The following is an 11984-nucleotide window of genomic DNA, read 5'->3' on the forward strand; positions in this document are numbered from 1 at the left end:
AAATTAGCCGGGCGTCGTGGCTGGCGCCTGTAGTCCCAGCTACTCGGGAGGCTGAGGCAGGAGAATGGCGTGAACCTGGGAGGCGGAGCTTGCAGTGAGCCTGGGCAACAGAGCGAGACTCTGTCTCAAAAAAAAAAAAAAATTATATATTTAAAGTAGAGAAGAGTACGTAGAAACCAAGATCTGGGTGCTAGGTGTGCTTATTTATAATATACTTTCATTGCTTCTAGACTTTCTCCGAGGACAGTGCTGGGAAAGAAATGTGTGTGCATTTACCTGTGAGCACATACATACCCATACATATCTATTTCAATATTTCTACTAACTCCAAATTCCAATCCAACAAACAGGGTTTATTCTGTGCTTTCCTCTTTCCATATTAATAGGTAACTCGTCTCCAAAAGTGTGAGACCTGCTTATTAACTACAATATATTATTTGCTTCGTCCTAAGATGTATAAAAAAGTAGTTTCTAAAGTGCTAACACATGCTTCTGAAAAAAAAAAAAAAGAAGCCTAGTAGGCTGGGCGCAGTGGCTCACGCCTGTAATTCCAGCACTTTGGAAGGCTGAGGTAGGTGGATCACGAGGTCAGGAGATTGAGACCATTCTGGCCAACATGATGAAACCCCGTCTCTACTAAAAATACAAAAAATTAGCTGGGCATGGTGGCGCGTGTCTGTAATCCCAGCTACTTGGGAGACTGAGGCAGGAGAATCACTTGAACCAGGGAGTTGGAGGTTGCAGTGAGCAGAGATCGCGCCACTGCACTCCAGCCTGGCGACAGAGCAAGGCTCCATCTAAAAAAAAACCCAAAAAAAACAAAAAACAAAACAACAAAAAAAAGCCTAGTAGTTAATTAGAGATCAGTATTTGCTTAGAGTTGTTTTTGTTTGAGGGCATATAGTCCAAGCAGTATATTCAAAAGTTCTTGGGTTGGTTAACTATTTATTTGTGGTAAAATATACATAATATAAAATTTACTATTTTAATCTTTTTTTTTTTCTTTGAGATGGAGTTTCGCTCTTGTTGCCCAGGCTGGAGTGCAATGGCTCGATCTCGGCTCACTGCAACCGCTGCCTCCTGAGTTCAAGCGATTCTCCTGCCTCAGCCTCCTGAGTAGCTGGGATTACAGGTGCACCCCCACCACGCCTAGCTAATTTTTTTTTTTTTTTTTTTTTTTTTTTTGAGATGGAGTCTCACTCTGTTGCCCAGTCCGGAGTGCAGTGGCACGATCTTGGCTCACTGCAAGCTCCACCTCCCGGGTTCACGCCATTCTCCTGCCTCAGCCTCCTGAGTAGCTGGGACTACAGGCGCCTGCCACCATGCTTGGCTAATTTTTTTATATTTTTCTAGAGACGGGGTTTCACCATGTTAGCCAGGATGGTCTCGATCTCCTGACCTCGTGATCCGCCCGCCTCGGCCTCCCAAAGTGCTGGGATTAAAGGTGTGAGCCACCACGCCCAGCCTAAGGGTTTCACCATGTAGGCCAGGCTGGTCTCAAACTCCTGGACTCAAGTGATCTGCCCGCCTCAGCCTCCCAAAGTGCTGGGATGTATAGGCATGAGCCAATGCACCTGGCCCATTTTAATCATTTTTAAGTGTACATTTCAGTGGCATTAAGTATATTCACACTGTTGTGCAACCACTACCACCATCCATTTCCAGAAAGTTTTCATCTTCCCAAACTAAAACTCCGTACCTATAAAACACTAACTCTCAGGTGGGTGCAGTGGCTCGTGTGTGTAATCCCAGCACTTTGGGAGGCTAGGGCTGGAGGATCGCTGGAGCCCAGGAGTTTGAGACCAGCCTGGGCAACATAAAATTAACTTTAGTTTTTTTTGTCTCTAAAAGAAAATTTAAAAACAAAATAAAAAACCACTAATTCCCTATATACCTCCTTTCCCCTGACCTCTTGCAACCTCCATTCTTTCACTCCGTATATATTTGATTTTCCTAGGTATCTCATAAAAGTTAAATCATACAATATTTGTCCTTTGTGACTGGCTTATTTCACTTAGCATGTCTTCAGGGTTCATCCATATTGTACCATGTGTCTGAATTCTCTTATTTTTTTAAAGCTAAATAATATTCCATTGTTTGTATATACCACATTTTGTTTATATATTCACCTGTTGATGGATACTTGGGTTTCTTCCACTTTTTGGCTATTATGAAGTAATGCTGCTATGAGCATGGATAAATAATCTGTTTGAGTCCCTGCTTTCAGTTCTTTTGGAATTGCTGGATCAGAAGTGGAATTATTAGATTATATGGCAATTCTATGTTTAAATGTTCGAGGCACTGCCATACTATTTTTCTTTTTCTTTTGAGTCAGTCTCACTCTGTCACCCAGGCTGGAGTGCAGTTGCAGTAACTCAGCTCACTGCAACCTCTGCCTGCCAGGTTCAAGTGATTCTTCTGCCTCAGCCTCCCAAGTAGCTGGGATTACAGGGGTGTGACACCATGCCTGGCTAAGTATTTTGTGTGTGTGGTTTTTTTTTTTTTTTAGTAGAGACGGGTTTCACCATGTTGCCCAGGCTTGGTCTCGACTCCCAACCTCAGGTGATCTGCCTGCCTCAGCCTCCCAAGGTACTGGGGTTATACAGGCATGAGCCACCATGCCCAGCCTATTTATTTTTAAGTGCTTCATTTTCTGTAAAGAAATGTTATCAAGCTATTGAGAAATTAAGTGTTGGTCCAAAATATAATATGCATCTCAGAAATATTGTTTATTAAGGACACAATTCATATTCTTATATAAATAGCCTCTGTTTACAACTTGAAAAAGGATTTCCAAAACAAAAAACTTTTAAAAATCTTAAATTGGCATTCATATTATTACAGATTATAAGTTATGTTTCAAGGGTCATAATACAATTTCCAAATGATTTTCCATTTCTTGGTCAACTAGTTAGTCCTTACCTGTAGTATCCAACTTGCCAAAATCTTGAAGAAATAACTAAATTTAAAGTTTAATACAAAACTGAAATAGCCTGTTATTAATAATATTGAAACAAAAATGTGCTTATTGAATTCAACTAACTATATACTTTTTTTTTTTTTGAGACAGAGTCTCACTCTGTCACCCAGGCTGGAGTGCAGTGTTGCGATCTCGGCTCACTGCAACCTCCACCTCCTGGGTTCAAGAGATTCTCCTGCCTCAGCCTCCTGAGTAGCTGGGACTACAGGTGTACGCCACCACACCTGGCTAACTTTTATATATTTTTAGTAGAGACAGGGTTTTGCCATGTTGGCCAGGCTGGTCTCCTGACCTCAAGTGATCTGCCCGCCTCAGCCTCCCAAAGTGCTGGGATTACAGGCATGGGCCACCACACCCGGACGCAAACTTTTAACTTAAAATGTGTCTTTCCAGCTTTATTTGTAATAGACAAAAAGTGGAAACTACCCAAATGTCTATCAACAGGTACATAATCAAATAACAGTGTAAACATATATACAATAGAAGATAACCCAACAGGCCGGGCACGGTGGCTCACGCCTGTAATCCCAGCACTTTGGGAGGCTGAGGCGGTCAGATCACAAGCTCAGGAGATCGAGACCATCCTGGCTAACATGGTGAAACCCCGTCTCTACTAAAAATACAAAAAATTAGCCGGGCGCAGTGGCGGGCGCCTGTAGTCCCAGCTACTCGGGAGGCTGAGGCAGGAGAATGGCATGAACCTGGGAGGCGGAGCTTGCAGTGAGCCGAAATGGCGCCACTGCAATCCAGTCTGGGCAACAGAGCAAGACTCCATCTCAAAAAAAAAAAAAAAGATAACCCAATGATAAAAATAAATGAACTATTTGTTACATGTGACATGAGTGGATCTCAAAATCGTTAGGTTGAGTGAAAAACCAGACAAAAAATGAGTACTGTGTATTCCCATTTATATCAAACTCAAGAAAATGCAAATGAATCTATGGTAATAGAAAGCACATCAGTGGTTGCCTGGAGAAGGGAGTGTGCAGGGAAGAGGGATGTATTATTATAAAAAGAGACATTTCGGGGCCAGGCGCGGTGGCTCATGCCTGCAACCCCAGCACTTTGGGAGGCCAAGGCGGGCAGATCACGAGGTCAGGAGATCAAGACCATACTGGCTAACACAGTGAAACGCCGTCTCTACTAAAAATACAAAAACTAGCTGGGCGTGGTGGCGGGCACCTGTAGTCCCAGCTACTCAGGAGGCTGAGGCAGGAGAATGGCGTGAACCCGGGAGGTGGAGCTTGCAGCTTGCAATGAGCCGAGATGGTGCCACTGCACTCCAGCCTGGGCGACAGAGCGAGACTCCTTCTCAAAAAAAAAAAAAGAGGCATTTCGTGATTTAATTGTCAGAGACTATTTTTCCCAAAACTGCTAGTGAAGCTTATACCCTAAATTACTAGTCTCAGTATGTCTGAAACTGAAAACCAGTTCCCATTCTTCTGGGAATATGTTTCAACTTTTATTTTTTACTAAAAGGTTATTCTTTTATGCTGTCCACAACTGTTTTTAAAACAATGAAATACGCTGGGCATGGTGGCTCATGCCTGTAATCCCAGCACTTTGGGAGGCCAACGCAGGCGGATCACCTGAGGTCAGGTGTTTGGGACCAGCCTAGCCATCATGGTAAAACCCCATCTCTACTAAAAATACAAAAATTAGCTGGTAGTGCATGCTTGCAATCCCAGCTACTTGGGGTGCTGAGGCAGGAGAATCGCTTGAACCTGGGAGGTGGAGGTTGCAGTGAGCTGAGATTGTGCCAGCACTCTAGCCTGGGCAATAGAGTGAGACCCCATCTCAAAAACAAACAAAAATCAACAACAAAAAATGAAATAACTGAAACTATGTAAAAATAAATTTTGATAAATTTCTGCAGTCTTTCATGTTAATACTACATCTCCAAAGGGATAAAATTTGTGTTACTCTAGTCTAATACAGAATAGAATTTTAAGGCCGAGTGCAGTGGCTCACACCTATAATCCCAGCTACTTGAGAGGCAGAGGCGGGAGAATCTCTTGAGCCCAGGAGTTTGAGGCTGCAGTGAGCTATGATTATGCCACTGCACTCCAGCCTGGGCGTCAGAGATCCCATCTCTTAAAAAAAGATTTAAAAAACTATATACTAAAGTTAGGCCGGGCGCCGTGGCTCACGCCTGTAATCCCAGCACTTTGGGAGGCTGAGGCGGAGGATCATGAGGTCAGGAGATCGAGACCATCCTGGCTAACACGGTGAAACCCCATCTCTACTAAAAATACAAAAAATTAGCCGGGCATGGTGGCAGGTGCCTGTAGTCCCAGCTACTCGGGAGACTGAGACAGAAGAATGGCATGAACTGGGGAGGCGGAGCTTGCAGTGAGCTGAGATCGCGCTACTGCACTCCAGCCTGGGGGACACAGAGAGACTCCGTCTCAAAAAAAAAAAAAAAAAAAAAAAAAAAAACTATATAGTAAAGTTAAATGATAATAAAATATTACTGTAAATCATTAAAGCACAAATCCTGCGTGTATATTTTCTCTTTGGTATGTTTCTGACATGATGTTACTGTCAACACTTTGCATCTTAGCTGAGTTCAAAATAATGTATTATATATAAATAAAATATTTATTTACAAGTATCTTTGATGTTGTTTGTGTGCTCTAAAACCAAATGGCATACCATACAGTCTCTTCAAATTTAAGTCTGAGTGAAAATATTCAGTACTACTCCAGGATAATCACTGACACATGTAAATATCTAGATCTTTTTTTTTTTTTTAAGACGGAGTCTCACTCTTTCGCCCAGGCTGGACTGCAGTGGCGCTATCCTGGCTCACTGCAAGCTCCGCCTCCCGGGTTCACGCCATTCTCCTAAATTTTTTGTATTTTTAGTAGAGACAGGGTTTCACCGTGTTAGCCAGGATGGTCTCGATCTCCTGACCTCGTGATCCACCCACCTCGGCCTCCCAAAGTGCTGGGATTACAGGCGTGAGCCACCACACCCGGCCTAAATATCTAGATCTTAATAATTCAGTTTGTTGAACTGATCTTTGCCTCTGAAATTCACATGATGTCTTTGCCTACAGATAGAATCAAAGATGGATACAAAGTGAACTCACACATAGCTAAGCTGCAAGAGTTATGGAAAACTCCCCAAAATCAAACAATCCACCTCTCTAAATCAATGATGGAGGCGTCCTTTTTCAAGGTATGCTAACAGGGACATATTTAAATACCAATACTCTTTGTATTCAGAGCCGAACTTTTTACTGAAGATCAGCTGCTTAGAGGGTGAGATACTGCAGATGACAAGGCATATGCAGTATAATTGTCTAGGAGTCAATAAATATCTTTGAGTAAACTCATGAATGAATGTAAAGATTATACATTCTTTATCATAAGAGTTATTTCATGGTTTTATGATACTTCATATCTAATGTATCTTTACTGAGGGGAAGCTTAATGCCCCAACCACAGAGATGCTCAAGAAAAGTTCCATCTTTTCTTGAAAATAGAAACCCAACTTCACACATATTTTACTCAAGGACTACAAAATTAAGAAGAAAGCAGGTAAAGAAAATGGCAGTAATTAGCTTGCAAGTAGGATTTAAAAAAAGAAAAATAAATAAAAGAAAATGGCAATAAGGATTTTACAATGGTTACCTGTATCCCATTAACGATCGTAACTGCTAAAAGTATCTCTAGAGCAATGTGAATTAGGGTAAATTTTTCTAACATTTTGCATTTTCTTTGAACTTACCATGTATTCAGTAAAGTAAATCTTGTATATATAGTGGAATCATACATCTTAAGTGAACATTAACTTCTAAATCAGCAAGTGCAATGAAAATCTCAAGTCAAAATTACTTAGAGACTAACATACTATCCCTCAGAATGTCCAACACAGTCAGTTATTCTTCTGGTGCTGGAAAAGAATGTTTCTTCAGTTGAGACTAAGTAGAGTAATTGGATTGATTTTAGGTACCATGTTATACCTCAAAAATCATTTTGAGAAGGCAAGATGCCCACACTGAGAGGCGCACAGCAAGTAACACTTGACAGAACAGCAGATTCGCTCTTTCCTTGTTCATCTAGAGCAATGGGTTCTCCGACTTCAAAGGGCATCTGAATCACCCGAGTGGAATGGCAAGCAGAGCCACTTGCACTGTTTAATTGGCCATTTCTTTCTCTTTTGTCAAGTTAACGTAGTTGAATTTGCTAAAGTAAAATACAGTTGGCACAACTCTCTTGAACATTCATCTCTTCAGATAAGGAATATTGCCAACTTCTCTAATACAATGCAGACTATAAATCCTCTTATTCTGTCTTTTAGCATCCAGACCTCACCACAGGCCAGAAGCGTTACCTGTGCAGCATTGCTAAAATCTATAATGCAAACTATCTGAAGATGTTAATGAAGAGGCAGTACATGCACGTACTTCAGCACAGCTCACAAAAGCCAGGCAGGTGCACCTCCAGTTGTCTTTTCACTAGTTTTTACAATTAGTGAGAGGGTCTTTTAACAGGTGATTTGTATCACAGGTGTCCTCACTCATCACAGAAGCCGCCTTAGCTCCCGTTACTCACAGAAACAGCATTACCCTTGCACTACATGGCGACATCAACTGGAGAGAGAGGACTCGGGGTCTTCTGATATCGCAGCTGCATCTGCACCTGAAATGCTCATACAGCATTCCCTTTGGCGGCCAGTGAGAAACAAAGAAGGGTCTGTTTCTTAGTGTAAAAGGGGGGAAATGCATCTCAGTTTAATTTTTTTTTTTCTCAGACAGGGTTTTGTTCTCTCACCCAGGCTGGAGTGTAGTGGTGTGATACAGTTTACTGTATTCTCAAACTCCTGGGCTCAAGCAATGCTCCTGCCTCAGACTCCCAAGTAGCTAGGGCTAAAGGCACAAACCACCATGCCCTGCTAGTTAAAAAAAATTGTTTGTACAGAAAGCATCTCACTATGTTGGCCAAGGTACTCTCACCTCCGCCTCCCAAAGCACTGGGATTACAGGCGTGAGCTACTGTGCCCAGCCTTCCCCATCTCTTTTGAAGGGTAGCTAAGTGATATTAATGGTTGTGTTCCCTAATATATTCACTTTGCTAAATTCAGAATAGGCTGGACTTTTAAAAAGCAGAGATACTTTTTTTTTTTTTGAGACCGAGTTTCGCTCTTGTTGCCCAGGCTAAAGTGCACTGGCGCGATCTCGGCTCACCGCAACCTCCACTTCCCGGGTTCAAGCGATTCTCCTGCCTCAGCCTTCCTGAGTAGCTGAGATTACGGGCATGCGCCACCATGCCCGGCTAATTTTGTATTTTTAATAGAGACGGGGTTTCTCCATGTTGGTCAGGCTGGTCTTGAACCCCCAACCTCAGATGATCTGCCCGCCTTGGCCTCCCAAAGTGCTGGGATTACAGGCATGAGCCACCATGCCTAGCCGAGAGATATTTTCATACTTTTTCTTTACTGCACTGATAAGAATATGCCACTTCTTTTAGAATATATTTTGTGGAATTATAAAAATTTCTTTATCAGATAGAGTTATGGATGACTGCCCTTTTCAATATAATTCCCACTCAACCTCAAAATAATGCAAATACTTTCAAAAGGAGAAGAATATGGTTGGTTATGCACAGGGGAATACTATATAACAGGGAGAGGAAAAAGATTAAGCAGCATGAGTATTGAAATTGCACTGCAGCAGCTTTACATGTCAGGGTTAAGAAATTACAGGAGAATCTGGGTGCTGAAAGGGTCTTTTTGGTGATGTTGGCAGCTAATAAAACAAATTTGTGTGGTCTTCCACATGCCCTAGGCAGCTGTTCACTTTGCTGGCTCCAACTAAGATACTTCCCTTTCTTATAGGATAAAAACTGGATATGCATCTAAAACAAGATGTAAGTCACTGAAGATTTTTAGAAGACCAAGGAAACTGTTCATGCAAACAGGTAAATGTGGAAATTTAACAATATTCATTTTTTAAGATCTTATGCTTAAAAATACTATACCAAATACAATTTCATTTCTATTATGAAGATATTAACAAATTTAGAATATGATTTGCTTTTATTGTCACAAATAAAAAACCAAACATAAAATATAGTTTATGCTTGCAATTAAAAGAACATACTGGGCCAGGCGCCACGGCTCACGCCTGTAATCCCAGCACTTTGGGAGGCCGAGTCAGGCAGATCACCTGAGGTCAAGAGTTCGAGACCCGCCTGGCCAACATGGCGAAACTCCCATCTCTATTAAAAATACAAAACTTAGCTGGGCGTGATGGCAGGCGCCTGTAATCCCAGCTACTTGGGAGACTGAGGCAGGAGAATCGATTGAACCTGGGAGGCGGAGGTTGGAGTGAGCTGAGATTGCGCCACTGTACTCCAGCCTGGGTGACAGAGTGAGACTCCATCTCAAAAAAAAAAAAAAAAAGAAAAGAAAAGAAAAAAAGAACATACTGCTCAAAAGAGTAAGATTCAAGGTATTTCTAATGCTAAAGATACTTACAATATCAAGGTCAAAGACTTAGTAGAGAATGAATTCGTCTGAACCCAGAACCACAAACATGACCTTCTCAAGCAACAGCACTTCTTTTATGAGTTAGTGCTATTTTTGGATGAACATATTTTGTATAGCATCTATTAGTTTACAAAGTGCTACATCTCTTATAGTAGGCCCTTCTTATCCATGGGGAATATGTTCCAAGACCCCCAGTGGATGGCTGAAATCTTGGATACTACTGAACCCTATACTTTGTTATTTCCTAAAAAACACATATCTATGATAAAGTTTTAATTTATAAATTAGGCACATAAAGAGATTAACAACAATAAATAATAGAACAATTTTATAACAATATACTGTAATAAAAGTTATGTGAATGTGGTCTCTCTCAAAATATCTTATACTGTACCTTGGAAAGCAAGACTGTGGATAAGGAGGGACTTCTGTATACCATTTTGTTTGATATTCAACAAAACAGTGGAGGCAAGCCAAGCAGGTGATATTATCAAAATTTTACAGCTGCAACTCAGACAAATCCAGACTTTGGAAGGATCAGCATAAAGGATCCTTCTACCACAAGAACAAAATACTGCAAAATGAAAAAGGGAAGACAGACCGAATGATCAGAAGTATTCCTCAGAACTGATAATGTTAAATCATGTTAAGTAGTTTCCTAGTTATCAGCATAGTGAAGTAGGGAGGTGGGTAAGAAGTAGGGAAGTTGGCCAGGCGCAGTGGCTCATGCCTGTAATCTCAGCACTTTGGGAGGCCAAGGCTGGCAGATCACCTGAGGTCAGGAGTTCGAGAGCAGCCTGACCAACATGGAGAAACCCTGTCTCTACTAAAAATACAAAATCAGCCGGGCGTGGTGGCACATGCCTGTAATCCCAGCTACTCGGGAGGCTGAGGCAGGAGAATGGCGTGAACCTGGGAGGCGGAGCTTACAGTGAGCCAAGATCGCGCCACTGCACTCTAGTCTCCAAAAAAAAAAAAAACTGAAGTAGGGAAGTTAGGCCTTCTGAATTGATATCCCATCACTGTATGACAGTGTTAGCCAGCTTTGCTGTAAATATCGTACCATGCCTATCCAAGAAATGAGGGAAAGGGCAGGAGAGAAGGGGTAAGTCAGGTTCCAAAAGGTACAGTTAGCGGAAACTGTAGGGGGGGGAGTCCCTGTGGTCCCCAATAGAAGAGATGAGAAGGAACTAAATGAAAATGCAGAGATTCTGAAGATGTAACTGACCACTTTAATTTCCCCCAACTGAAAGATTTTGAAAATCAATGGTAAAACAGGACTTAGTAACAAGAGAATTTGCTGTACAGTAACTTGGCTAGAATACAGTATTGTGTATCTTAAAGAGTAAGAAACTTGGGGGAAGGATGAGGTGACTAAGAGCCTTGAAAATTGCAGGCAATTTGTCTTTACTACAGGCTTATTAATAAGCCAGGTCATTTTGAAAGTTGTACTTAGAGCTTTATTTCCAAAACAGACAATTGTAAATTCTTATTTTTCCTTCAGTTTCTTCAGATGATTCTGAATCACACATGAGTGAAGAAAAAAAGGAAGAAGATTTACTAAATAATTTTATGCAATCAATGTCAATTGAAGAACAGGGAGAACATCTGATGTTAACTTGACAGTCTTGTCTCGTGTATTGAATTCGTGCCAAAGGTGAGGGTAAGGGGTTGTGAGTTGTGTCCTGTATGTTTAGGATGGTATTGTTATTTATTAAATCATTAAGTAATTTTGGTTTGTTCAGAAACTTAAAACAATGTAATTGGTCTGATGTAGTTCCATGTACCAATGATAGTTATGTAAGAAAATTTACATGTAACATATACTTGTACTTCTAGCTAGATACAATTAAAACTTTTCTTGCATTCAATATTGAATTACTTTTCTTTAAATCTGACAAATGCATCGTATTTCTTCTTTCTGTGTTCATAGTAAGTCCTAAAACAGCAATATTAGAATATCCTACAAGGGCCAGGCGCAGTGGCTCATGCCTGTAATCCCAGCACTTTGGGAGGCCGAGGCGGGTGGATCATGAGGTCACGAGTTCGAGACCAGCCTGACCAACATGGTGAAACCCCCGTCTCTACTGAAAATACAAAAATTAGCTGGGCATGTTGGTGTGTGCCTATAGTCCCAGCTACTTGGGAGATTGAGGCAGGAGAATTAGAATTGCTTGAACCTGGGAGGCGGAGGTTGCAGTGAACCGAGATCACACCACTGCACTCCAGCCTGGCAACAGAGCGAGACTCCGTCTCAAAAAAAAAAGAATATCCTACAAGTATTTTTTTGATTGGGCTAAGGGAAGCTTGGAAATATCCAGATACAGAATAGCATTTGACAGAGATGATGCTCTGACTTGCAAAGTAGGTGATCAATAAATATTTGCTATTTGAATACAACTTTAAAATGTAAATACACATTTTCCCTATCTTATGAAATTACCACATAAATAACTTGGGACTCTCGGACTAGATTAGGTTGGGAGTAGTTACACTAACAAGAGGA

General features: G+C 41.3%; 1 protein-coding gene and 1 long non-coding RNA gene across 5 annotated transcripts in view; one reads left to right on the forward strand and one right to left on the reverse strand.

Annotated features, from left to right (window-relative positions):
- The window catches only part of LOC124903016 (uncharacterized), a 19005-nt gene extending 8748 nt beyond the window's left edge, over nucleotides 1-10257 (reverse strand). Inside the window, exon 1 of the long non-coding RNA XR_007063459.1 lies at nucleotides 9873-10257. This is a non-coding gene — a long non-coding RNA (uncharacterized LOC124903016). The remainder of the gene's footprint in view (nucleotides 1-9872) is intronic.
- Nucleotides 1-11349, forward strand: part of FAM216A (family with sequence similarity 216 member A) — a 21959-nt gene extending 10610 nt beyond the window's left edge. For all 4 annotated transcript variants that reach the window (XM_024448959.2, XM_005253875.6, NM_013300.3 and 1 more), the window contains exons 3-7: nucleotides 6042-6163; nucleotides 7289-7418; nucleotides 7498-7681; nucleotides 8825-8907; nucleotides 10983-11349. In XM_024448959.2, coding sequence (XP_024304727.1) covers nucleotides 6140-6163; nucleotides 7289-7418; nucleotides 7498-7681; nucleotides 8825-8907; nucleotides 10983-11101 — 540 coding nt within the window. In that variant the 5' untranslated portion in view covers nucleotides 6042-6139 and the 3' untranslated portion in view covers nucleotides 11102-11349. The remainder of the gene's footprint in view (nucleotides 1-6041; nucleotides 6164-7288; nucleotides 7419-7497; nucleotides 7682-8824; nucleotides 8908-10982) is intronic.
- Nucleotides 11350-11984: the final 635 nt, after the last annotated feature.

The sequence above is a fragment of the Homo sapiens genome, chromosome 12 (assembly GCF_000001405.40).
Source record: "Homo sapiens chromosome 12, GRCh38.p14 Primary Assembly".
Taxonomy (NCBI): Eukaryota; Metazoa; Chordata; class Mammalia; order Primates; family Hominidae; genus Homo; species Homo sapiens.